The sequence below is a fragment of the Homo sapiens genome, chromosome 1, assembly GCF_000001405.40.
Source record: "Homo sapiens chromosome 1, GRCh38.p14 Primary Assembly".
In the NCBI taxonomy this organism is placed as follows: Eukaryota; Metazoa; Chordata; class Mammalia; order Primates; family Hominidae; genus Homo; species Homo sapiens.
In genome coordinates, this window is record NC_000001.11 from 177,149,785 (window position 1) to 177,177,777 (window position 27,993).

The window sequence follows — 27,993 nt, forward strand, 5'->3', positions numbered from 1 at the left end:
TATATACAGTGTATATACATAGTAAATATATATACAGTGTATATACATAGTAAATATATATACAGTGTATATACATAGTAAATATATATACAGTGTATATATATAGTAAATATATGTATATATATATAAAGTTCCTAGAAGAGATCAAACTCCTGGTTCTGTAAAGACAGGATTATGTCTGTTTTATTTCTCATTGTCTTCCAGAAGCCTAGTATCATGACTGCTACTTAGAAGTTGCTCAAAATACATTGGAAATTGGAGGCAAGAAAGTAAGAATGATTCCAAAGTGGGTCTACAAGTTTGTGTGTTGGAGATGTATGAAATTGGAGATAATATGCCTGATAGCCTCAACTACAAGGCAACATCTTATGCTAAGTGTAAAGACAGGAAATTCAGTTGGGAGCTTAACTACCTTATTAATGGTTTGAAACAGTCACTTGGGGAAGTGAGAGGAAGGGATGACCAAAGTCAATAAAAAGTAATAAGCAATTTTCAGGACCAAATGTAGACTAGAACCCAGATAACTATGGTACCTTGAATGTACACAAACAGGAGAATCTACACACAAATCTCAGCATTCAGTCTGGGGGTAAAGGTAAAGCATGTAAATTTGGGAAATTGATCTACCTCTGGACATTTGACTGGTAGATGCTGTATAATGACAAGAAGCAGCACTGAAATTGAGGATTCTAATAAAAAGGTAGTTCAGGTAAAGGAAAAGATGTCAGAGCATTCTAATAGACATGGAGAAAATAAAAGTGGCATTGAAACTGTGAATTTCCAAGGACCAATTATCAGGCAGAGTGAAAGAGTATGAGAAAGCTGGAAAGAAGAATTTGTGGTTCGAGTAGGGCCAGTTTCAGCGTTGAAGAATTTTTAGGGATGAGAAGGGTGTGACCCTAGTTATGGGTAAGTAAAATGGAGTTATGAAGGCGGAGTTGCAGGAGTCAAGGAATTATAAAGTAGAAAGCTGAATGTGTTGTGTACTTCAGGGGTTGGCAAAATACAACCTATGGGCCAATTGCTTATTTTTGTAAATAAAATTCTAATGGAACACAGCTATATACATTAACTTACATATTGTCTACAGTGGCTTTCCTCCCAGTATAAGACATATTGAGTAGTTACAACAGAGACCATATGGTCTAAAAGGTCTAAAATATTTAATATCTTGCCCTATAACAAAACATGTTTTGATACAGGCCTATATAGTTAATAATGCGTTCTTGTGTAAAGGCAGGAGTTGTCATAGCAGAAAATACAGAGGGGCAGTACTAAGCACATTGGTGAGTGGCCTGGAAGATGGTAAATACAGGTAGTTAGGAGAGGCAGAAGATTACCAAGCCAAAGATGTATATTTTCAAACAGGAGGTGTTTCCTGGAAGGAGAGTGAAATTGTATGGGCCTAGAAGAATGATTTTTAATTTTTTTCGAATCCTTATGGTAGGGACTGCTATTTTTCAAAAACAAAACAAAAAAAAATCTATTCTCTCTTTCTTTCTAGAATTTAAGTTGAGCACATGACTACCCAGATAAGACTGCTTTTCCCAGTATCCTTTGCTGGGATTTCAGGCACGTAACAAAGTTCTTACCTATGGCATTGGAGTAGAAGGGATGTGTGCAACTTTTGCCTTACTTTCTTAAAAAAAAAAAAAGAGAGAGAGAAAGAAAATTGTTACCCTGAATGACTGCCCTTCCCCTTCCTGTGAGTGTAAACACACATACTGGTGACTCTGCAGAAGAGGACAAGGGCCTGGGGAATGGCAGAGCAACAAGGTGGAAGAATCTGGGGTTTCTGAATAACTTCATGGAGTAGGGTCTTTCCAAGCTGAATCACTCATCACAGAATTGTTGCCTGAGAGAGAATAAGCTTTTCTTCTTTAAGTCACTTCCTAAGAACTCTTTATTCCAGAAAAGAAAAAGTTCATCTCTATGCCACTTACAAGACCTTTTTAAAAATATGATTTAAGTTGTGGACCCTCTTTTCAAGAAATCGCCCTTATGCATAAATTTTATACTCAATTAACTCTGTAGCCCATATGTGGCCATGAAGCTAAGAACATGTGGTGTAGAAGCAGCAGTGGAGAGAAAAAGGAAATAGCCACTCCTCCCATGTGTTTGTACAGAAGGAACTTTTCAATAAAGCAGCCATCCTTTGCCATTGTGCTTTTTTAGGTTATGTCCTTGACTGGTGGTAGACTGAAAGAGCCAGTCAGAGAAATCAGGAAGGACAGGAGAGGGCATATGGGAAAGATAATAAGGTCAAGGTACAGGATGAGACTATGTTGGGAGACATGAGTAAGAAAAAATATCAGTTCTCAGAATTCATATTTGGGGAAAGGTAGATATCCCAGGGAGAGTAGGACAATCCAAAGCCATCAGTCAGGACCACAGAAAGTGCACAGATTTGCATTGCATAACTCCAAAAGATGCTACATGTACACAGGTTCCATAGTGTGGCAGATTCACCATCAGAATTTTCTTGTATTTAGAACTTAAAACCCACCTAGAAACTGATAACAGTAAAATGATTTCACCAGGTACTGCTGTGGTTTACGTGTATAGCATCACGTTCCCTCAACCAAAGGTAGTCAATTAACACACAACATTAATAGCTTTCACATACAGAAAGTATAATCCTTTGGAAAATAAATAAATAAAAAAGGAAACATTCCTTTTACAAAAGCACAAAAAGATAAAATACCTAGAAGTAAATCTAACAAGAAATGTGCAAGAACTTTATGAGAAAAAAAAAAACTTTAAAATTCTACTAAAGGGCAGTCAAGATTTGAACAAATGCAAATGTATAAATTTCTTAAGTTGAAAAATTCAACATCTTAAATATTTAATTATTTCTTAATTAATTTAAAAATTTAACAAGGTTTATGACTAAAAATACCACTAGCTTTTGTTATTCTTCTTCTTGTTACATTTTTAGAACCAGATAAGCCAGTTAAAGTTTATACGGAAAAACGGAATGGATAGGAGAACTCTAGAAAAGAATAGCAGCAAAGGGTGACTAGCCCTATGAGATATGAAAACACATTACAGAATTTTAATAATTAACACAATATGGTATAGGCACATGAATATATAGACATAGTAATAGAACAGAATAAAAGCTCAGAAATAGACCCAAATGTATTATGGAATTTATTATATGATAAAGGTGACATCTCAAATCAGAGGGGAGATTATGAGCTATTTAATAACTGGTAATCAACCATCTGAGTAACCATGTGGACAGCTGCTACAGTTTGGATGTTTGTCCTCCCACACCACTTATTAAAATTTGATCCCCAATGTTGGAGGTGAGGCCTAATGGAAGGTGCCTGGGTTGTAGGGGTGGATGCCTCATGAATAGATTAATGCCTTCCTTGGAGGTAAGTGAGTTCTTGCTCTATTAGTTCCCTCTAAGAGCTGGTTGTTAAGAAAAAAACAAATCTTGGCACCTCTGCTTCTTTCTCTTGTGATGATATCTTACCAGGTAATCTCTGCACACTCTGGCTTTCCTTTGTCTTCCACCATGAGTGGAAGCAGCCTAAAACCCTCACCAGATGCAGATACCCAATCTTGAACTTTCCAACCAACAGAACTGTGAGCCAAATAAGCCTTTTTTTTCTTTATAAATGACCCAGCCTCAGGTACTCCATTATAGCGACACAAAATGGATGAAGACACCAGCTAAAGTTGGTGCTTCATATAGCATACTTGGATAAAGCCATATATCAAACTACATACCACAATAAATTCAAAATATACCAAGTATTTAAATGCAAAAAATAAAGCTATTAGAATATTCAGGAAAAAAATGATGAATACTTCTATAACTTTAAAGTGAAGAAGACCTTTCCAGTGAAGACATAAGGTACAGAAGTCAAAAAGAAATAATTAATATCTTCACTTACATAAAATCCAAAGACTTCTGGAAAACCAACCAAACAAAAAACAAGCAAACAAAAACATAGGCAAAGTCAAGAAACATACAATAACCTGGGAAAAATGATATTTGCAACTCATTTTACAGTCAAAGAGATAACCTCCCTCGTATCTAAAATGCTCCTAAAAATATGAAAGGAATAACAATTAGATGTCACTTTACACTCAGTGGATTGACAAATATTAGAACACTGTACAATGCCAAGTGTCGGTGGGAGTATGAGGATTTAGGAACCCTCAAATATTAATACTACTGATGAGAGTACAAACTGATCCAGCCATTCTGAGCACAGTTTGGCAGTATTTAGCCAAATTAAATATGCATAATCTTTATAAACCAGCAATTCTGCTCCTGCTATGTATCCCAGAGAAATTTTCACAAAAGTCCTTGAGGAAATATGTACTAAAATGATAACTGGAGTATTATTTGTAGTGACGGAAAGCAGGAGGCATCCTGGATGTCCATCACTGAAAGGACTGGCAAAATGTAATAGGTGACCATCATGGAATGTTCTGCAACAGTCAGAATCAATGGATAAGATTTGTGTTGTCCAATAAACCCTTCTGCAATAGTGGGCATGTTTTATATATTCACTATTCAATATGGTAGTCACTAGCCACATGAAGTTATTTAAAATTAAACTCATTAAAATGTAAACATAAAAATTCAGTTCCTCGGTCGTACTAACTATATTTCAAGTGTTCAAGAGTTACATTTGGCCAGAAAGTACCATACTGGATAAGGCAGAACTCGAATATTACCGTTATTACAGAAATCCCTATTGGACAGTGCTAGGCTATATTTATACTAAGTAGTATGAGTAGATCTTAAAAATATAGTGCTGAGTGAAAAGAGTAAGTATCAGAATAACAATATGACACCACCATTTCCTTGAATTTAAAATACATTAACACAGAACAACTATTGACTTATTGCAAGAACACATACCAAAAAAAAAATAATAAGCATTAGGGAGATTAGAGTATTTTCCTATGGGGAACAGTGAGTGAAAACTGAGAGAAGGTATAAAGGAAAAGAAGCAAATAGGCAAATCAATAAACGACTGGAAGGAGTAAGGGCTTTCAGAGACCTATAATAAAATATGCTGTGAATTGAGGAATATAATTAAGTCAAATCTCTGCATGAGATTACAAAAAAAAGAAAGCACACAAAAATCTGCATACTAATGTTCATAGTATTTTTATTCATAATTGCCAAAAACTGGAAACAACCAAGATGTTTTTCAATAGGTAAATGGACAAACTATGGTACTTCATGCAATGGAATATTATTCAGCAATAAAAATAACTGAGCTATCAAGCCATGAAAAGAAAAGATGTCAATAAATCTTAAATGCATGATATTAAGGAAAAGAGGCAAGTCTAAAAGGGCTACATACTTTATTACAACTATATGGCATTCTGGAAAAGGCAAAACTACATTGATGGTAAAAGAGCAGTGGTTGCCAGAGTTTGGAAGTAAGGCATGGAGGATTAAATAGATGAAGGGTAGGAGATTTTGTAGGGTGATCAAACTGTTCTGTATGATTCTATAACTGTGGATATATTACACCATACATGTGTGAACATTCATTAACTTTAGGGAACAAACGGCCAACTTTATATGTGCAAATTAAAAGAAAAGAAATCATTTAGGAGATTGAGTGATCCCAGGATGAATGCAGAATATGACAAATACTAACTATATCATAAATGTATGAACAACCTCACTGGAAGGGGTTGGGGGGAAAGTGTTGGCCTAAGCAACTTTAGAGTAATCTGCAAGACTAAAGACAAAAGAAATTGTACAGAAAAACTGCCCTACAACTAATAAAGTTGTTCCCCATGGTGGTATGGGCAAACAATTCCAATACTGTAATAAATTCACAGTGAAACTGAAAAATTAAATACATGGATGGTAGATGGTGGGAGTCAGGTTACTCATTGTTGGAGTAGGATAAGCAAGGGGAGGAAGCAAGATGATTCACGAATTAGATGAGAGCTAATGTTAATTAGGTAATGATAATTAGATAATGGATTAAAGCTGGAGACATCAGTATGAACTCATGATTAGCTTAATATAGACACATATGGTTACATATAGAAATATTTACAGATAGATATATACATATGTTAGTAAAGACACATATTTCCTTGCTCTGTCAGCTGAGAGAGCCTAGAAGCAACAACACTCCTGTAACAACAAGCACACTTAGTTCCCGGATCTTGGTTTCTAACATCATCCTCCAATTAAAAGAATGATGGGGGCCAGGCATGGTGGCTCATGCCTATAATCCTAGCACTTTGGGAGGCTGAGGCGGGCAGATCACAAAGTCAGGAGTTTGAGACCAGCCTGGCCAATATGGTGAAACTCCGTCTCTACTAAAAATACAAAAATTAGCTGGGTGTGGTGGCGGGCACCTGTAATCCCAGCTACTCAGGAAGCTGAGGCAGGAGAATTGCTTAAACCCAGGAGGCAGAGGTTGCAGTGAGCAGAGATTGCACCACTGCACTCCAGCGTGGGCAACAAGGTGAGACTCCGTCTCAAAAAAAAAAAAAACAAAAAACCCAACAACACCATATGCTGCTTGGAGAAATAGCTGATTCTAGAATAGGGGCAGGTAATATGCAAGATGACCCTGGAGAAGCTTGTAGTGACAGGAAGTAAAAAGGTGCTCACAAAACAAAAACTCACATTGACTGGGGTATATCAAAGTCTCACAGGAGCCAACTGAAAGAGCTCCCATTAGCCAATGCTGAGACAAACAATTTGAGCAATAAAATCAATAAAGTAGTACTGAATTAAAACGCAAAGTATAAAATAAATATTCATGAGTCCATAGGACATAAATAAATAAGTAAACAAATAAATGGAAGAAAAGAAAAAATTCTCTTATATAGCATAATTCAAAATAATTTATGTAGATACTCAGCCTTCAAGAAGGTGGACCATAGCTCCCCATTCCTTTGGAATAGTCTGTGCACAGTGACTTCCTTCAAAGGAATGGAGAGAGGGTAAAAAGGTAACTTTACAGTGGAGAAACCTGCCAAATACAACCTCAACAAAGTGACTGAGGTCAGCATCAACAGTGAGAAGTCAAGTTGATAGAATGTACCCTTGATATGATCTGATGAAAATGACACTTTATAGCTTCCTTCTCCAAACCTTAGCTCCAGTCTAATCATGAGAAAAACATCAGACAAATACCGATTGAGGAACATTCTACAAAGTACCTGACTAGTATTCTTCAAACTGTCAAAGTCATCAAAACCAAAACAAGTCTGAGAAAGTGTCACAACCAAGAGAAGCGTAAGAAGATGTGATGACTAAGTGTACTGTGGTACCCTGGGTGAGATCCTGGAACAGAAAAACAATGTTAGATAAAAACTAAGAAAATCTGAATACAGTGTAGACTTTTGTTAAAAATCATGGATCAACCTTGGTTCTTCAATTGTAACAAATGTATCACATTAATATAAGATGTTAATAGTGAGAGAAACTGGGTATGGGGCATATGGAAACTCTCTGTACTATCTTCCCAATTTTTCCATAAAGCTAAAACTGTTCTTTTTGTTGTTGTTGTTGTTGTTGTTGTTTGTTTTGTTTTGTTTTATAAGGTCTTACTCTGTTACCCAGGCCAGAATGCAGTGGTAGGATCTCCGCTCACTGCAACTCCGCCTCCTGGGCTCAAGCCATCTTCCCACCTCAGCCTCCCAAGTAACTGGGACTACAGGCACACGCCACCATATCTAGCTAACTCTTGTATTTTTTGTAGAGATGGGGTTTTGTCATGTTGCCAAGGCCTGTCTCAAACTCCCAAGCTCAAGCCATTCACCCACCTGGCTTCCTGAAGTGCTGGGATTACAGGTGTGAGCCACCACACCTGGCCTAAAACTGTTCTTTAAAAATTAATTTGTATTTTTTTTTAAAAAAAAGGAAAACAAGTATCAGGAACTGCTAGAAGCTTTGAGGCCCTCTTTTTCACCCTCTCCCTTCACACAATCTTCCCTTTCCACAAGAGGTAACACTCGTATTTTATTTTGTTTTTGTTTTCTTGCTTTTCATAAAAATTTTGCATTTGTATGTATTCTTAAACAATATGTTATTTTGAATTTATATAAATAAAATTGTACTATTTTTTTCAGCTATTTTCTTATTTTCACCTAACATTACATTTGTGAGATTTACCCACATTGATATATGTAGCTACAACTCATTTATTCTCCTGGCTAGATAATATGTCATTGATGAAGGTGCCACCTTGTATATTTCTAGTCTCCTGATAATGATTGCTTCCAGGTTTTGCTATTCCCAACAAATATTCTCATGTATACATGTAAAAATTCCTGTGTAATGAAAAGCTAGAAGTGGAACTGCAAAAGCATCAGGCATATACATTTTCAGTTGTACTATATAATACCAAATCGTTTCACAAAAGTTGTCATGTCAGTTTAGATTACCGTCAACAATTTGATTGTTTGTTCCTTGGAAATCTAGAGATCTGTACAAATACTTTGGGTTTTTTATTAAAATTTTAAAGTGTACATGATTAAAAACAAAATATCAACTATTTCATATTTTTAGTAGGAATAAAATGGTGATAGATGACCATGTAACAAAAGCTATTGAAATAATTTTTTTAAAGTAATTAATTTTTAAGAATAATAAAATGATGATAGGTGTCAATTTGTATAGTACATTCGAAATTTCCATAGACCTTAACTTGTCCTGGGAGATTAACTTGCTCATAACAGAGCTCTTTTTGCCATCTGTGTGCATATACATGAACTGGTTTAACAGTGAAGAAATGAAGACTTCGTATGTCCCTGCTGAAAAGTTGCCAGGTTTGTTCTCATAAACTGGCCCTGATGTGAGAAACTACTAGCCTTTTAAGTTTAATTACATTTCTAAGAAAAGAAAGAAAAAAGTACGTGTGTGTGTGTGTGTGTGTGTGTGTGTGTGTGTGTGTATGATATATATGTGTATATATAGTGTGTCTATAAGACAAGACCTCAATCTTGCTTCCTAAGATGAATAAAGAAACTAAAATTGGCTGGGCGTGGTGGCTCACGCCTGTAATCCCAGCACTTTGGGAGGCCGAGGTGGGTGGATCATTTGAGGTCAGAAGTTCGAGTCCAGCCTGGCCAACATGGTGAAACCCTGCCTTTAATAAAAATACAAAAAAAAAAAAAAATAGCCGGGCATGGTGGCGGGTGACTGTAGTCCCAGCTACTCAGGAGGATGAGGCAGGAGAATTCCTTGAATCTGAGAGGTGGAGGTTGCAGTGACCCAAGATTGTGCCACTGCACTCCAGCCTGGGCAACAAAGCGAGGATCCATCTCAAAAAAAAAAAAAAAAAAAAATTAAAATTTTATTTTTTCTTCAAAAACTCTAATTACTTGAATTCAAGTCATATCAACATATCTAAAAAAGCAGTTAAAATGTTGTAAAATTCATCATTCATATTCATAATTCCTTTGTTGTAAAAATCTAAATTTCTGTAGAGAAACAGTAAATAATAACCCTCTCAATACTATAAATGAGCACATTCTGATAGCATGAGTTATATAAGTGCTGAAGAACCTACCTTAGGATTGCTAGCATTCATCTACTATGTCTTGGATAGGGCTGCCAATCTATACAAATGCATTTACTATTAACCTAGGCAGCTCACTGTAGTGGAGAGAAAAAAGAAGGAAAAGAAACATATTTTAAAGTTTCCCCTCAAATGGGAAGATGGAGAGATGTGTGAAAAGAATTGGGGATACCTGGGTATTTTAACTGTTTCCTATCAGGCCAAAGCTCACCCATAAGTAACATTATGTCCAATATTACCTTTGAAGCCAATTGAAAAGCTCAGTAACTGCTATTTAAACAGCTCCACTGAGCTCTCAAAATAAGTTCTAAGCACAAGACCACCCAATACAAAGATCACTGGCTTTGGACAAGTAGCTAAAACCACATTACCTTCTGGATAGCTCCATTTAACAAGGGAGCCTTCTCTCTGGGACTCTCAGTTTGCATTTCTGTAGGACCCTCCTCAGGAAGAGCACTGAACATATTACCTTCATCCCCAATGCAGCCTACCTATCTTGTTTACCAAGACTGTGAGTCCCATACATGTCACCACAGGAACATGGAAACATGGCTACCTGAACCTGAAAACTATAAATAAGTGAGAATTCCCAAACTCTTCTTAGCAAAGTATATGTACTTAGCTAACTATTTTTTGATAAAGTTATTAAGGCTGGTGTGAGAAATCACTCAATGGGCAAGGATATTCAAGAAGTATTTGCATAAAGATCACAAAAGACTCCTATATACAAACTAGGTGAGTGTGCTTTCCCTATTTTAACCATTTTCAGGGCTCCTTTTGTTCAACCATGAAAAAGAAACGATTTTGAAAACTTTTAAGGCATGTAAAATAGTAGCTCAGAGAAAGGCTTAAACATCATATTGACCTGAGTTCGAATGATGGATCCATCAACTGTTCACTAAGTGACCCTGAGTAAGTTATTTAACTCCCCCATTCTTCTGTTTTCTCCACTGCTGGAATAAGTAGAAAGCCAGAAGTTGACAGCAAATCTGTCTTCAAAGCCTATTCTTTTAACCGCCACACTTGCCTGCTCCAGACACTTTAAACAGCACCTTGCATGTGGGAATTTACTACATCTCTGCAGGCTGATTGATTTATCTTCAGGAATACCTTCTTCAATCAAAAGCCATGACAGCTAAAGCAAAATGCCAAGGCACAAGAGAAACATCTTTCTTCACTAAGTTGTACATATGCAAAAGCTCAACAGTTGGGTGAAATAGAAGGGTTTCTCCTTCAAATAGTAATGAGGCTGATATAAAAATATATTCTATTTACAGCACAGAAAACCTGGAAGCCACACTTCAGGTTAACTCCTTATCTCCAAATCAAATATGCTCCAAAGCAGGAATGTCTACTATTTTGAAAGCTGAAATATGAAATTTTAGTTCAGATATGAAATATTAGTTGACTAATTTGGCAAATCTCTTAAATCTCCTGAGAGGATGCTAAGGCTCATGTGCCTAAATATTTTAAATTAGAAATGACAGTTATTTTGCAACACTTTTGAGGCTTTCACCACACATCTGAAAGCAGGGGTTTAGGTTTAGATTACATGGCTTAGAGTTGCCAGGTAAGTACTACGAAGAAGTATATTAGGCACAGAACCATCAGTATCTGTGAGAAGTATAGCAATCTAGACCTAACTAAAAACATTCATATTCAAAGCATTTTAAAAACCATATGTAGTCAAACAAAACATACCTAAAAGTCATACTGGGCCCTTGAATCACAATTTGCAAACCCCATCTCAGAGAAAAGGAGATATTGACTCCTGTTCTCTACTTGGAATTATACCACACGCAAAACTGCCAAGGCTGATGGCTGAGATAACCTCTGGGATCCAGACTTCAATGCTTTCTATGTCAAGTCAGCCCTTTCTGCCTAGTTTTGAAGTGGAGAGCCACATGCCACTCTACAGAGCCAGGCCCAGTCCCCACTACTGTCATGTCACAAGGCTCTGTCCAGGCAGGCCGATCCCCACACTATGCCATATGCATGCCATTTCCATATTCACTCCCACCACCAAATGCCTTTGCTCATCTTTTCTCCATGACCTTAAATGTCTTCACCTTTCCTAGTCCAAGCCAAGCCTAATCTACCTTTAATTTTGCACGTTTGTGAGTGTTTTCTGTTTTAATCCATGCAAAGAGCACAGAAATGGGATAGAGGCTTCATAGAGAGATGACTTGTGCATGGTTTAGAAGGAAGAATGGATACCACCTAATAGAGAAAGGGCAAAGAGCCTTCCAGGCAGAGTAGCTACATGTGCAAAGTCTTGAAACAGTCCAGAAGGCCATGGCAGGCTTGGAGGGATAAAGGGCTGGAGAAGTTGGCTGCAATCAGAATGAGAAGACCCTAGTTAGCCTCAGTGAAGTGACAGGACTTGATCCTAGAGGCAAAAGGAAGCCAAAGCTTGTTTTTCTTGTTGTTTGTAATTTTTTTTTTCACTCAAAGGAGTGACAGGATCTGATTTTAGCCTAAGCTTCTGGTCCATGATTACCATGGAATCTGCTCTTGTCATGCAAGCAAATCCTTCCACAGCATCCCTATACCCCTTAACAGCCATACCACACAATTAGGTAGGTACAGCTCTTACAGGTATCTTTGTGTTTCCAGTGACTAGAGACCACTTGAGGGCAAGAGACTTTTTTTTAACTTCTGTTTCCTAGTAATGCCTCTGAGTGCTGAGCAGGTACAACTCAATAAATTTCCAGAATTGACTGATTCAGATTCCTCCAGGAGATGGATTAAGTAAACAAGGTTCCAAAGATAGGAGTAGGGAAATCTCAAAACCAAAGTCACTACAGCCCTCACCATTGGCCAAGAGCTGCATGATCAAGACCACAAAAGTTAAATTCAAAACTACCTTTGAGTCTATCCTCCATAAATTTGGACTCCTCTTCCTTTCTGCCCAGATCTGTTTAACCACCCACCCAAACTGAAATTCATTCCTTCTTCCTTTGAGCATACTGAGTCAGAAAGAATAAGTACCAGCCCTTCTCTGGTTCTGAGCATACCCCACTGACTGGGAGAGTGGGAGATAATCGATGCATTTAAATAGTGCATCTGGCCCTGAAGTGAGAGAGTGTGTCTGTGTGCCTGTGTGTAAATGCCAAGTTGCACCAGATTACCATAGCAACCCCAACAGGACACTGCAGTGGGCAGCTTTGCACAGAGGTGCAGAAAACCCGTTCTTATAACATCTGGGCTTTCACTGTGCACATTGGTTCCTAGTAGGCACATCACAGCATTAGGCCCTGGTTTTGGGATTCTGCAAAAAAGAAATGAAATGTTGAATACCTGCTAGCCCTCCCTTTTTTTAAGCACCATGCTTGTACCTCTTCATGCACAGTAAACACTACAAGCAGAGTGCAAAACAGCCTCTTTAGAAACACATAATTCCCTCTACTCACTTTTATATACTATGATGAACAGATTGTACTTTGCATATCAGCATGACTTCAACGTGAACTTTCCATCCTCCAAATAACCCAGTAATTGTACATTTTGATGAGCGGCATATCCACAATGCTCCCATTTCCAGCTAGTCCCCAGTTTTTATTATGTTATTGGTATTTTTGAAAGCAAAAATAAATAATCCTATCAAGAGCATAGGTTGGGTTTAATGGGTTCAACTGAGCTGCACTCCGGGAACTATAAAGCAACTTTTCAAAGGGCCAGGCAATTTTTGAAATTGCTTTTCCCTAAGGGTTGGGGAGTAGGGGTTTATTCACTCACTTCCTAGTGTTTTCAGTGTGAAGACATCTCCTATGAAGGAAGAGCAAGAGGGATGTGTTAGAATTCCACATGTGGCTCTAGCCTACATGTGGCCATCAGGAAACCATGTTTCTGCAAATGGAACTGTAGTTGGTAGGGTATCAAGTAAATGGAACAGCCTCCTAGACATTTTCTTTTTTTCTCTACTTGGATCTAGAGACTGAAGTGTGGTTTTCTTTGAATTTCTCCTGGGCAAAATAAGAATAATTGGCAACATCACTAAAGAAATGGATTGCATGGTAGGCATGCACAGCAAGGTGAGAGCTCCATCTACACATGGAGAAGTGAGGGGAATTTGGCAAAGTAACATGAACTTGTGGTGCTTTGCAAGATACTAGAGCAGGACCACAAAACCTTTGCAGCTTAGTAGTGGAAAACAGGGATGATTTGAAGTAATGTATGGGTTCCAGTACCTGAAGTGACAGGAGTTCCACTACCTGAAGGTGACCTAAGAAAATTACAGTGGGAGTACCAAAAAGAGAGAGATGTAAACAAACAAAGGAAGGAAGAGCCCCTTGCCTAGAAAGGTCATTCTGTGTGCAGGAATGCCTACGCCTATCTAAGGTGGCCCTGGGAACAAAGAAGAGACCAATACTAACAGACTACAGTTGTATAATATCTTTAACCAACTGTGACGTGACATGGATGTGTGGATGTGGTTGAATTAGGGGGTTGTGACATCTAAGCATGGAGGTAGGACTTCCCAGAATGAACAGCTGGGGGATAAGAAACTTGAGTGTTTGGAAGGGAGGGTGTCAGTAGCCTGGTGACAGATAAAGGGCTCTCCATGAATGAAGACTAGAATCTGGCTTGCACATAGCTGGCAAGGTGATGACAGGATACCTGTTTCTAAAGCCCCCAGGAAGTGCTGTAGGTGGGTGTGGGTATCCAGAGTGAGTGAAGCAAAGAGCTGAGCATGTGGCTAGGGAGTGGGGAGAAGGGATTATGGGAGTTGAACTGGTAGCAGACAAAAAGTGCTGTGTGGATGTGCTCCTGAATCAAAGCTGGGAGGTCAAGGCTGGGAGAGGTTTCAGAGAGACTCATGCAACCTGTTTCTTTGAGGCAGGGCAGCTGAGAGGAGGCTCAGCATCCAGGTCGGATTTGGGGAGAAGTCAGGTGCACAGAGGCGCTAGTATGCAAGTGGGTGTGGAGAATGGTCCGGGAGTGGGGCGGATCCGGGAGGTAGGAGTGGGGGAGGGGAGGTCGTCGGCGAGTGGGTGTGTAGAGCGAGCTGGAGTGGGGGGTGGGGGCGCCGGTCCAGCGCCTCCGGCCGCCTCGACCTCCCCCGGGACTCACCCAGCACGAAGTAGGGCAGCTCCGTGTTCTCCAGGTCGTCCACCACGACCATTTCTCCCGGGAAGTCGTTGCGCACCGAGAAGAGGAGCTTGGGCTCCGAGGCCGAGGGGCTGTGCATGATGCTCAGGTCGTTCTCGCGCAGGAAGGGCAGTGCCGACACCGTGATGCTTTTGAGCTTGCACTCCAGCTCCTTGGATGGATCCACGTCGCCGGCGGCCGTGGCCAGCACCGCCGCCGGCCCCCAGCAGCAGGCGAGCAGGGCGCAGAGCCCGGCTAAAGCCATCTTGAGCCCCGGCCGCCTTCCTCCTAGCGCTGCGATGGTGGGGGAGGAAGCGAGCGGGGAGGGAGCGAGGGAGCGAGCGCGGGAGGCGGGGGAGGTTAGGGAGGGGATGGAGAGCCGGGAGAGCCCTGGACCCCGGAATGAGATGCCGCTTGCAGAGTCCTGGGTTTAAGCTCTGATGTCTGGAGAGCCCCGGATTCTTTGTTTCCCGGAGCTGCTTATCTGGAGAAGGGAAAGCGGGGGAGGGGGGAGAGGAGAAAAAGGGAAGGAAGGACGTCGAAAGGAAAGAGGAAGGGAGCTGAGGATTCTAGGGAATCAGGTCAGCCCCCAGCTGGCTGCCGGTGCTCCTGCCTCTCTCCTCCGTTGCATCCTCCAACACGAGCAAGGCTCTTGGCTATGAACTACCTGCACGGCATTTTTAATACATTGATCTTTGCAATGTAAAATCTTCCCTCTCGCATCATCATCCAGAAGGCTTGAGAGAGGCACACACAGACATACACCTTAAAGGGCGCTTCTGCAAAGCTGCGCGGTGAGGGGAGATGAAAATTCCCCCAGTGGTTTTGTGGATGTATTATAGCTTGTCCGAATCTTGCTTCCACCCCGCCCCGTCCCCCACTAGTTGGATTTGTACATAGGATAAACGGGAGCTGGGAATGCACATGTGCATATTTTTACTTAGCACTAACTTTGCAAAATATTTAAAGAAAATATTTGTTATACTGGTTTAGATGGATGGATAGATATGCACAACAGAGTAAGGTGCACAGTTAAGCAGGAGATCGAAACTTTTACTCGCAACTTCTCTCTGCTTCATTTCATTTCTATCACAAATTTTATCTGTAGTAACCAATAAAAAGATGATTTGGGGAATATTATAGCTGATAGAAAAAAAGTAGGGTTAGCTCAAATAAATCTTGAAACTTTAATTTTAGACAATCTAGTAAATAGGACAAAGCTGGAAAGAAATTGTGAGAAAAACCAAAGTTCCTAAGCATTCTTAACAGATGGAAAAGTAATAAAAGAATATCCTTGGGTATGAGCTAAGTCAATCCCAATCCAGTCAAGAGTACAACAGGGAAGATGTTCAGCACCCTGCGTAAGTATTCTGAAGAATAACACCACCACCACCACCACCAAAACCCATGTAAGATCTGTTCCCAGTAGTGCTCAACAATGTTGCCTTTTAAAAATGATGACAATATGCAATAAACAGTGGTAGAAAAGTGACATTGTGTATTCTGAAATCTGACATTTAACTGAACTTTCTCTCACATGATAACCAATAACTTATTTCAAAAGTGTGTCCCTCCATTGTTATTGGGTCAATGCTAACTTCAATACTAGGTGCTGTGAAGACTGTGTTATTTGTAGTTCTCACTCTAGAAATTTAATGCACTACTGTTCTAAAAGAGGACCCCTACTTAAGAAACAATTACATTTTCATTCTACCTGGTGTCAGTTTATTGGCATATGTGAAAATATGTTCTTTAAAAGACAAAAAAGCTTTTGCCATATATTTTACAAAGTTTATCTAATTGAATAGAGAAAATAAGCCATATTTAAGGTAATGTTTAAGTAGTGAAAGATCATTTACCACATATGCAAAGAAAAGAAGAACAAAGACACTTTATTAGTTGAGTTTTTATATGTAACTTATCTGGGAATTAACCCCAAGTTATCTTACCATGCAGCATTGCAAACTACTGTAAACTACTGTAAAAAAGATGTACCAGCTAACGACTTTTGAAAACTCATCCTGATCGTCATTGCTCCCCTAAGAGATACTGAGTGAGACAAAAACCCCATGATATCTCTTTCATTCTGTTATCCCTAGCATAAACAAAAATCTAGTATTAAACTTACTTATGCAAGGTTATTTGCCATTGAATAATTATAGTGGATGTCAGGAACACACCCTTGATACTAGAATGTGAGAAATGGCATGTAAGTACCTGATCATGTATTCATCCAATCTCTCACTTAACAGATAAGGAAATTGAGACCCATTAAAGAGTGATCTATCTTCTATGGAGCTAAGACCATGAACAAGATTTCTTTGCCCACTGCTCTTTCCACTATATGGTTATGGTACACTAGGGTGCACCCATGGATAATCACTGGGCTTTATGGACCACAGTAATTAATTCAGCAAATGTTTGTGTACCTACTGTATCATAAGCATTAGGCTAAGCACAGCCAGAAAAATACTACTCCTGCTTTTGAGTAGCATATAATCTACTGTCACTTTGAAATCTTTCTTTCTAATTTTCTGAAGATTCTTGAGTCATGTTAGAAAGCCCAAGTAAACCATTTAGGGTTGATTTTCCAATAAGTCAATATCTAGTCTTCTTAAAATGTATATTGAGTTGGGCATAGTTGGTAGTTGGTATCTCAAGTCTTTCTAGACCTCTCTAAACAAAACCAAACAAAAGAAACAGTAGAATTTTTTAAAAGAGAATATATTATTCCAGAGTACTTGATTCCTGTAAAAATGGAAATAATGTCACATGGCCCTTTCTTAGGGAATTAAATACCTAGAGATGTGGGTAAAGGTTGAAGTACATGGAAACCAGGCCATCTCTAATGCATGATGTTTTACATTTAGAGGAGATGGGGGAAAATGTTATGCATCTCAATCATCACCTTTGTGTAGAGGCATAATGATATAGTGAAATAATAGAACTGGATTCAAGACTTAACTTCATAATATTCTTATTTGGAGATAAGCTTGGACCATTCTTGTCTTTAGTTCCCCATCAACAAAAGGGGCCAATCATCTCCGCTCACCCCTGCTGGTCACAGAAAATGTTTCTGACTTTCATCACCAAAGAGTAATGTTACTTGCTCTTGAATTTTATAAATATAGAATCTTAGAGTATATGCTTTTTTGTGTCTTAATATTTTCACTCATCATTATGTCTGTGAGATTTATCCATGTAGTTCAATATTGTATTGCTGTGTACTAGTCCATTACATGACTACATGGCATTTATTCATTCTCAGAAAATTTCTATTCTTTAAAACACTGTAAAACAGCAAGCGCTGTTATCTCCAATCTTCACTTTTCTCCTGAGATACACCTTCCTGTATTTAAGCACCAATGGCCTCTTTCCTTGACTATTAAAATAGATTTTGATTCCTTTTCCTCCTAGCAACGCATTCTGTACACAACTACCAGGTTGATCTTCATGAAATCTAACTTTCATTATGTCATTCTAGTTTTTCTTTTTCTACATGATAAAGCTGAAAACCCATGGTTTAGAAATTTTAAAACTCTTCTAATCTCACACTGTTTTTTAGATAGTTTGCTCACTGCACTATATCTCTATCCTCCCACCACACATGTGCACACAGACACACACATCTCTCAATCAAATTAAAATCTATTTCCTATTTTCACTCCTCCCATAACATTCTGTCCACCTGAAGTGCAACACTCTTTATTCTTCAGATTGTCCCATCTCTCCAAGCTAATCTGCAGCTGCACCTATGCAGTGAGAACTTCCATCACTTCCCTTCTTTTAGCTCCATTCCCTGGGCATTTATTTACATCTCCCCCAACATCTACACATATACATACACATACACTCAGGAAAGCAAGAGCTATTTCCTAATACAAAGTCTTAAATTCAATATTCTTATTTGCAAAACAGGAATAATACATAGTTTTGGGGGTGGTTGTGAGGAGGAAATGAGATTATGTATGTAAACAATGTGACACATTTTAGGCATTTAGTTGGCACTCAGTAGCGATAGCCTTTGCCACTATCACCTTATTCAATTATTTTGGCAAGATAATAGGCTTCAGAGTCATCTTCATGAGATTTTCTCCAGTGTAGTAGTCAAAGCAAATTAAGTAATGTATAGTCCTTGGTGTTTTCCCAGAGGAAATGATTGCATACATCCACCAAAAGACAAGCACAAAAACATTTATAACAAGTTTACTTATAATAGCCAAAAAACCCCAGAAACATCCCAAATATCTATCAAGAACAGAATGAATAAATGCCATGTAGTCATGTAATAGAGTGGTGCACCGCAATAAAACATACAACTACATGGATAAATCTCAGAGACAAAATGATGAGTGAAAGGATCAAGACACAAAAGAGTGTATACTCTAAGATCCTATATTTACAAAGTTCAAGAGCAAGTAACATTAATCTTTGGTGATGGAAGTCAGAATATAATTATCTCTGGGGAGTGGAGGGTTTTGACTGAGAACGTTCACGAACATGCTTCCTGCAGTGCTGGAAATAAAGTGAGTAATGGTTACATTGATGCATATATAGGCAAGAATTAAACTATACACTTGTGGCAATTCTTAATGTATATTCTGCCTCTTTAAAATTTTTTACACGGCTTCAGACTTTATAGGAGAAGAAAGTACAAGCAAGTTTTCTTTTTCAAGTTGTCTTCTTATCTGCCATCACCTCTTTCCTCTCTCTTTTACAGATTTTGGAAATTTTAACTTTCTTTCCATTGAAATTAGCAATCCTTTGTTCAACCTCTCCCTCTATTTACCCACTCCCTTATGCTATTTTAACATTTCAGTATGTTGTCACTTGGGACAAGTTCAGTGGGTCTCTGCCTCTAGAAATCACAAAAGTAAATAACTCAGCAGTTGGGTAGCAATAGATTTAGGCTCTCAGTGGTTCTCTTGGTTATTTTATTCTAGAAAGAGAGCTCAGGACCCTGTGGGACCACCATTCTCTGACATGTTTTGTAGCTTAGGCAAACAGATACTTGCAGTATGCAGAAGGAAGTTCAACGTTGTATAAGATACAGAGAAGAAAATATAGGTGAAAGTGATAGATGTGTGAGTCTGAGGGGATGAATGAAGAAAATTTCTAATTTTTCTTTATTCATTCAGAACTTACGGCTACTTGATGCAGTTTAGCTAATCTCCATGTGTACTTCTTACACATTCATTAAATCTCTACATACTTTTTTTTTCTAGTTCTTTACAAAATAATCTCCGATGTTGCTCTCCATTTAAGGAAACTAAATTGAAAGACTCCTCTCGCTTTCTGACTATATATTTATCTTCTTCATACTTCCCCCACCACATGACTTAGCATGGATCTCCCAAGTTCCTTCCCCAGCTCCAGCCCCCAGCTCTTCCCTTGAATTGGATTTTTCTTCAACTATTACTCTTTTTCCTATGCTCCTGCCAAAATCTAGTTTAGTATGCTAGTTAGCGGGACATGTTTCAGTTTTGTACCCTCATTAGGATATCAAAAATATATACTTCACACTTCAATGTAAAGTTAATATTTTCTTCCCTTCTCCTTTCCTCCCTTTTCCCTCCACCTCCCTCCCTTTTTTCCTCCCTCCCTCTCTTTCAATTCACAGGCCCAGCAACAGCACCTGCTTCACAGAAACAAGGCTGGTCCTGTTCTGATTTCTCTAGTCTTCCTTTAAAAACTAAACGGAGATGCACAGTCCCTCTTCCTGACACACACAGAAGTGAAAGGAGACACACAGAGGGAAAACACCACAGGCAAAACAATTCCCTTTTTTGGAGGGACATTTTTGAAACTTAATCTCTCCCCAGAAACCTGAAGTTCTCCTCTTTGCCTTTGTCCTTACAGTCCTGGTGTGGGGGCAGAATGTTTCCTGATTTAGCTGTCCTGGCCTCTAAATCTGTTTCACTCTCTAGCCATCTTACTGGGTTCTTGCTCTCTTTTGCCTCTCTCTCCTCTTGGGTCTCTGGGGTGTGTGTGTGTGTGTGTGTGTGTGTGTGTGTGTGTACTATTTCTCACTTGGGGGCTCATTTCTAATTAAGTAATCCAAGAGGCTAAAAAATGCACAAAACAACCAAATGAAACCTCAAATTAGATGGAAAATGGCTCAGATGGGTCCCAATCTCTGGGAGTTCTAGTTAAGCAAGCAAACAAAATGGGCTGGGATAAATGATTATTGTAACTCAGGAAGATTAGAAGAAAATGTAATTAGCTCCCCAGCTACTTCTTGTTCCCCAGCCTTTTTAAGAGTGTCCAACGCCCCACCCGTGAATGTACCCAAGGCTTCCTTATACACACCAAAAAGTCCCCACTGCAACGCTGGGAGGGTTAACAGAGCTGGTACCCCAGCCTGCCAGCTCACCAAAGGAGAGAGCGGTGAGGCTCAGAGCCCGCCCCCTGCCAAGCCGCCCAGCCAATGGGCACCTGTGGGGAGTGTGGCGCTGTGTCCCATTGGCTGCCAACCTACATGCATAAGAAAGAAAGAGAGAGGCAGGCAGGGCAGCATTGTTATCTTAAGACACTCATCTGGTGTCTGAGTCTGCAGGTGACACTGCTTAGGTACGGAGCGCGGAGTCGGAGCGGGGACGCGCCGGGCTGCAGCTCTGGGATGCAATCCGCCTGCCTCGCAAGCTGCTCGCCGCTGCGCTGGCAGCGCTTACGCTGAGCTCGGAGGATCCCATTAGGACTTGCCCGGGGATGTGCACCTGCCGTGCGCTCCGAGGTCAGTGGCAGGTCTGCAGGCAGCCGAGGGAGCGGTGAAGCCGGAAGACCTGTCTCTGCCCATGTGCAAGGCAGTGATTTCGGGTGAGAGAGCGGGTGGGTGAGTCTCTTTAGAGTTGGAAAGAAGGCAAAATCTTGGGTTTCTCCTCGGCGGAGGGACAGGGGACTCCCCCAGTTGGGTCTTGCACTTCCCTTACCTCTCCCACCCCGCGTGCGCCCCGGCCCAGTGCCGAAGCCCCACTTCAAAGATGCTCTGGGAGACCGGGATCCTGGCTGCTCAGCGGGAAGGCAGCAGGCAAGTGGTCTAACGTTGGCGGCGGTGGCGGTGGCGGCGGCGGCGGCACCGACAGTAAAGCGGGGAGCAAGAGAATTTGAAAAGAGACATCCGCTCCCTCTCACACGCTGAGGGGGAGGCATTCGCGTTTCCCCAAATGAGAAAGAACCACAAGAAATCATGAAGTAAAAACTTTGGAAAGCTGCCACTGGAGATGTTGCACAAAAACCTGGAATCTTTTAGGAGTCTCCTCCCAGTCGTTGAAGGTTTGGGGAGCAGCTGATACAGCAAGGAGGGCTCTTGCAAGGATTCAAGGTAACAGTGCAGGGTTTCGGTGATTTTTCTCCCCTTTTCATTGTCCTTTTTGGTGTGTCCGTTGGTAAAGGGACCATTTTGCTCTCATACAACCCTCTTGCCCTGGTGCCTGGCAGTGGCAGGCAGAGGGAATGATGCCACCTCTCCTAGTTTCTGTCTTGTGGAGTTGAGCAATGGACTTTGGGGTTGAGCTAGAGATTGCTCTGGTATTGCCTCCTGGTGTTGCATGGCTGTCAGAGGGTTTGGGCTCCCTGCCTGACCTATATTGCTTTTGCCTGGTTTAAGTCCTCAAAGTTAGTGCAACTCCTATTAGCTTCAGAAAATTCAATAGGGCTGCATAATTGCAGAAGATGACGAGGACTTTTGCCTGCCCAGCTGACGCTGGGAGGTTCATTATGTTTGGGAAGGAGCCCAAAGAGCTGAGGTTACAATGCACGATATCTATATTATCGTGCTCATAGAGCCCTATGGCATGTTTCCCATGCACATGCAGTCAGGAAAATAAAATTCCAAACAGTGAACCCTGTAGGTTGCAAATAGTCTCCCCAGGGTGGTGGCAGAAGCCCCATTGATTGACTTGAGCCTGGCAGAGCACTGGAGACACTAGGGAAGAACATTGCTGTGCTGAAAGGTGGGATGTGCTGGTATCATCTAGCAGATCTCTGTCTCTGTTTTTGTGATCATCTGGGTACACTGTCGAATGCTGCCTGTGGTGTGTGTATGTATGTGTGCTTGTGCTCACAGCTGTATGCAGGAAACAGGCTGCCCACAGAAGAACCAAGCATGTCCAGCACCCTGTCCAAATCACGGATGCCTGGAGTGTTCCTGCCTAGTAGGAACACGAACTTGTGAGCTGTTGTTCCAGCCCAGAGGACTCTTCTCCTCACCAAGCAGTCCCTCTGCATGGTACATATTTATCCAGGGTATATAGACCTAAGCCAAATGTTAACCAATGTTCAAGCTAATGCACTGTAATGTGATTGAACAGACCCCTCTGTAAAGAATTGTGTGTGTGCTCTTTGCAGCCCTAGGAGCAGGGTGCTATGAGCAGAAACAAATGTTTTGTTAAAAGGATAACAATTATAAAAGGTCAAGCTTATAGTTGGGTAATCTAGGCCTTATTCAGCAGGGACATTGTTATGTCAGCATAGACCAATCAGAGGGATAAAAGGTATATTATAAGTCAAGTATTTCTGCTTCTGTCCTTCTCCAGACATGTGCATGTTGAAGTGACTCTCTCTGACCATGCTCGCTAAAATACATGCAATGCCAGTATTAACCAAGCAACTAAAGTATACCAAATCCCCCGGGGGGCAGTCTGATGACATCAGGCAACAGCAAAGTGATGCTGGAGTTTGTGTGCTTTCCCTCCTGACTCACACAGTTGTGTGTATGTTATTTGTTTAAGGCATGACCCTCTGGAGTCCCCCTTCACCCAGAATAAGTTGCTTTGCAGCACTGAGGGCATGACCGAGACATGCTGCCACAATGATCCTGTCTTATCAATATCAGAGCTGCTGCCTACTCTAGGAAAAGATGCATGCCTTGCTTCTTTGAGGAGGATATAATTTGAAAAGGCACAGAGCATGTATATTGTGAAATATTTGAGATAAAGGAAGCAAATGTCACACCATAGTCTCCCCTTCTGGAGGTCAGCTGGCGCCAAAGTGTTTGACAGCTGGGCTGCAGCCATGGAGAAGACAGGAGCATTCTTGACTCTTACTTCCCCTCTTCACCAAAAATGGAGCTGGCTTTGTCTCCCAGAATGGAGTGATGTGTGCTGCAGTGTGGGCACAAGAAAGGAGGTGAGGAGAAAAGGGCTGGGGAAGGAGGAAGGTTCCTGCTCTGTCAGCATGGGGCTGGTCTCAAAGATGGGGAGCATCTTCCCTTTTTGGCCCTCAAAATTATCTTCTACGTGCTCCTTTCTGGCCTCCTGACAGGTTGTTTACTGAACAAGGCCAAAGGGCAAAGAACAACCCTGTGTCATCACCTTCTCCTGATCCCCTTTCCCAAGACACAGGCTGGCCACTGGAGAGCATCACAGAAAAATGATACACTCCCTTGAGGCACTGCTCTGAAATCCCTCCCCAACTCACAAACAAGAGGTAATCTGGAGGGACTTGAGACATCTGCGTGGGCACTTTCTGCTGACTGGGATGCTTAGTTGAGGTTTCCTGGTTAGTGTTTTGTTTTCCCCACTGCGCAGTGTATTTTTGGTGATTCAACTCTTTCTCTTAAATAATAAGACCTTGTATACATTTTATAATGGCATCCTCTTCCAAAGGGCTGACAGCACTTTCCAGAGCTCATCTAATTAATCCTCACACGGCTTATTGTCTCATTTATCTTTGATTACCCTAAGAAGTAAAGCTAAAATGATTTTAGCCCCCTTCTTGGAAAAGGGAGGGCAGAGAACCTCAGAAAGAGGAACTGCTTTATGCAGGGTCACACAGCACTTAAGGGACACTGTGGAATTGGATCTGGGTCTCACTGCTCCTGAACCAACCCCAGACTCCATGGGCTTCTTCTAAGGAATGGTTTGATTTTAGTAATTATAATCTGATTTAGTTGTTCTGTACTTTGTAAGGATGGAGATGTTACAATGACACAAGGTTTCTCCTCCGGGACTAACTTAAAAGCAGTGAAGAATAAAAGTCTCATAGGCCTTTGCCCTTGCCTTCAGTGATCTTGCAGTCTAGTTAGGAAACTAGGCTCCCATCTGACAAAAGGGAAATGATGATGTAGGTTCTAAACAGCAATTCAATACCAGAGAATTCACAAGGCTGACCTAGTTCATCTGCGATTGATTCGTACAGATAATGAGAACTATCAGTATTCAAAGGAAGGAGAATTTGAGTTGAGCCATGAGGGATGCGGTGGGATTTGTTTGGATAGAAAGAATGAGGGAAAGGGTTCTAGCTGACAGAAATAATAACTGCAGCACTGTTGGGAAGTTTGGAAACTTCGAGGCTTGCTTGATTCCTTGGGGTTTACCCTGGGCTACCTTTCTTTTCTGCATTCTGGAAATACCATACACCTGGTTAAATTATTTTAAACATATATTGGTCTACAGGAAGTTGCCCTAGAACCTAGGCAGGGGGCTCTGTATTATGCTGGGCATCTCATTAGACATTGAAAATTATCTGGCCTTCCACCCATCCTCAAGTCTAATCTATATATTGTGGGAAAAGTATTGCTCAACCTCAGAGAGCTTATCAACATGATATCAAAAAATCTGAATGAGGATATTGGGGGTAAGCAAGCAAATTTTAAGAGAACACACACACAACTTCTCATATTTTACAATCAGAATCTCCTAAGAGAGAGCCTTGATTTTCCTTCATTTCTTATTTCTCCACCCAAATGTTCCTCCTGGGGTTTTCTTAGAGCTGGCAAAATGCCAAAGCCCTTAGGCATTTAGCAGCGAGCAGGAGATTTTCAATCTTAAGATTCTTGAGCATGCCCATGTACATAACCTCTTGTCTCCCCTTCTCTCTCCCTTTTAATAAAACATACACTGTAGCAGCCACTAAGGAGGAGACCATGGAAAAGCGGGGTGGGGGGGGCAGGATGCGGTGTTGCCTGAAGCTGTACCACAGGGCACTGTGCTTGCTCAGCTGGGCAGGAGAGGGGAGAGGCAGCCTGCCAGCCTGGGCAATGCCAAGGAAGGGCCCACCAGGAGAGAGCTGTGACCAGCCAGCTACACACATTTGCTCCCACAGTGGGCATCTCTCCCAGAGGAAAGGTCAAGGCAAAGCGCAGGGCCTGTGAGAGGACTGGTAACACAACAACCCTAGTCACTGGTCTTCACGTGGTTTGGGATGTTTTTCATGCTGCAAGTCACCGGTGGCTTGGGTGGCCCCATTCCAACATAGAGGAAGTTCCCATTGAACATGAAAGTGGAATGGCTTACCTAAAGTCACTCCATAATTGCTTCCAGGTCAAAAGTAAAACCCCCAAGAACCCAGTCTGTTTGTTTGCTTAGCCCTAGGAGTTTATTCGGGGAACAGGTCTCAAAGGACATTACTTTCCCTTGAAAATCCTTCCCTGGACCTTGCTGTCACCCTTGTTTCCTGTCTTAAATGACTGTGCAGCTGGACTGTGAGCATGACTCCTTTTCTCTTTACTATTCAGAAGCATCCACTGCTATGTTTGGGGGCTGAGGTAGAGATCTGGGCCCAAGGGCATGTGGTTAAGGGTTGTGAATTAAAGTCTCTTCTATCTAGAAAGGAAGAGACAGACAGCCGAGTTATGCTTCAAACTGGGGACTATGGTGAACCAATCTCGTCTGACCAATTAGGATGCAGGTCAGCCCCTCTTTAAATTGTCACTCTGCCATAGACAGAGAAGTAAAGTTGAGTAGCATCAACACAGCATGGAATCATCAACAGCCAGTCCCATTATTCCTCTTACTGAGGCTCACATGAAATGCAAACTTTTCTGGAATTCTGGATTGGGCAAAGGGAGAAGACAATTTGATACCTCACAGGACTAAGCTCTAGGCAGTTGCCAATATGATAGCATATTGGCATCATGTGGGTCTTGAGCACTTGAAATGTATGCTGTAAATGTAAAATATGCATTGGGTTTTGAAGACTTGGTTTGAAAAGAAAAGCAATGTAAAATATCTCATCAATATTTTTAATCTTCATTACATGTTAAAAAGATAATATTCTGAATACATTGAGTTAAATCAAATATATTAAGATTAGTTTCACCCATTTCTTTTTTATTTTTTAATGTGGCTACTAGAAAAGTTAAAATTATGTAAGTGGCTGGCATTATTATTATTATTATTATTATTATTATTATTATTATTATTTTTGGATAGTGTTAACAAAGGCCCTGCAAAGTAGTGACAGGTTAATGGGGAAAAGGTGCAGAGGCATGAAATAGGAGGAGTTGGTGACATAAAAAGAGAAAGAACATGGAGGGAGGGGTCAGGAGCAGCCCAGAGTGAGCCTTAAGGCATGTATTTCTAAAATTTCAATTCAAGAAGGGCACAAATAGCATACACCAACCTATATTTATTTGAAGAGGGACCTTGTTAACTGTAATTAAGCCCACCCAAAGCCTTTGGGAAGCATTACAGCTCTCAGCTCACATACAAAGAGTGAGCCGGTGGGTGGCTTGGTAATTTTATCCTAATATTTTCGAGTTTTTGAATGACAGTAGAAATAACCGAGTAACTAATCTTTAGGGTCTTACTCCAAAGGGTGAGGACACAATAGTGGGATCAGCTGGGTATGTTTGTCTTTCAAATTTCCTCCTTTCTTTTTATCTCTACCACATTATGATCATTCCTTGTGAGAGCTTTCTGTTTTCTTATCAATATGTTGATAGTGTGGTGGGGAGAAAGAAAGGCATGGCCATGTATTAAAGATTATTTTGTGAAATAATTAGCTGGGCGTGGTGGTGCAAGTCTGTAATTCCAGCTGCTTGGGAGACTGAGGCAGGAGAATCGCTTGAACTCAGGAGGTGGAGGTTGCAGTGAGCCAAGATTGCGCCACTGCACTCCAGCCTGGGCAACAGAGCGAGACTCTTTATAAAAACAAACAAACAAACAACAACAACAACAACAACAACAACAAAATTTGTGGACCTACCAAGAAGAAGAATGGGGAGAAGACACAATAATTGAATTTTTAAAAATTACAGATTGGAATATTATAACTCATTCATTGTCATTATTGTCATTCACTGCAATAAGTTTGGCCACAACTTGAACTCATATTTGCTTATCATTCTATAGTTCACAAAAGGTTTTCACAAGCTTTCTCTCACTTGATTCTCACAACCCTGTGGGATGGTTATTAACTCCATTCAAGGTTTTTCATAACCTGCCCCAAATTACCTTTATTACTGTATTTTCTAATCCTTCTCTTTCTATTTACTTCATTCAATCTTGCTTAATCAAACTACTCTACTTACTGTTCGTACATGTTAACCACGTAAAAGGGGGATTATTACCTCTTGTATTTTCAGTTTTATCATCTATAGAAGTAAAAAATAGTAATGCTAGATCTCTCAAAGGGTTATGCTAAA

General features: G+C 40.6%; 2 protein-coding genes across 9 annotated transcripts in view, besides 2 other annotated features; one reads left to right on the forward strand and one right to left on the reverse strand.

Moving 5' to 3' along the window:
- The window catches only part of ASTN1 (astrotactin 1), a 307,392-nt gene extending 292,464 nt beyond the window's left edge, over positions 1-14,928 (reverse strand). For all 7 annotated transcript variants that reach the window (XR_001737193.3, XR_921796.4, NM_001286164.2 and 4 more), the window contains exon 1: positions 14,610-14,928. Coding sequence is in view for 5 of the 7 variants with exons in the window: in NM_001286164.2 (NP_001273093.1) it covers positions 14,610-14,892 (283 nt within the window). In the remaining 2 variants the exon portion in view is untranslated. The remainder of the gene's footprint in view (positions 1-14,609) is intronic.
- Positions 20,812-21,401: an enhancer, noted in NCBI's record as "OCT4-H3K4me1 hESC enhancer chr1:177139732-177140321 (GRCh37/hg19 assembly coordinates)". NCBI's record gives its function as "activates a minimal SCP1, AML or CMV promoter by ChIP-STARR-seq in naive H9 embryonic stem cells {active_cell/tissue: H9 hESC(naive)}" and the evidence as "EXISTENCE:reporter gene assay evidence [ECO:0000049][PMID:30033119]".
- The window catches only part of BRINP2 (BMP/retinoic acid inducible neural specific 2), a 111,465-nt gene continuing 104,645 nt past the window's right edge, over positions 21,174-27,993 (forward strand). For both annotated transcript variants that reach the window (XM_005245379.3, NM_021165.4), the window contains exon 1: positions 21,174-21,948. The gene's annotated coding sequence lies outside the window, so the exon portion shown is untranslated. The remainder of the gene's footprint in view (positions 21,949-27,993) is intronic.
- Positions 21,402-21,990: an enhancer, noted in NCBI's record as "H3K4me1 hESC enhancer chr1:177140322-177140910 (GRCh37/hg19 assembly coordinates)". NCBI's record gives its function as "activates a minimal SCP1, AML or CMV promoter by ChIP-STARR-seq in naive H9 embryonic stem cells {active_cell/tissue: H9 hESC(naive)}" and the evidence as "EXISTENCE:reporter gene assay evidence [ECO:0000049][PMID:30033119]".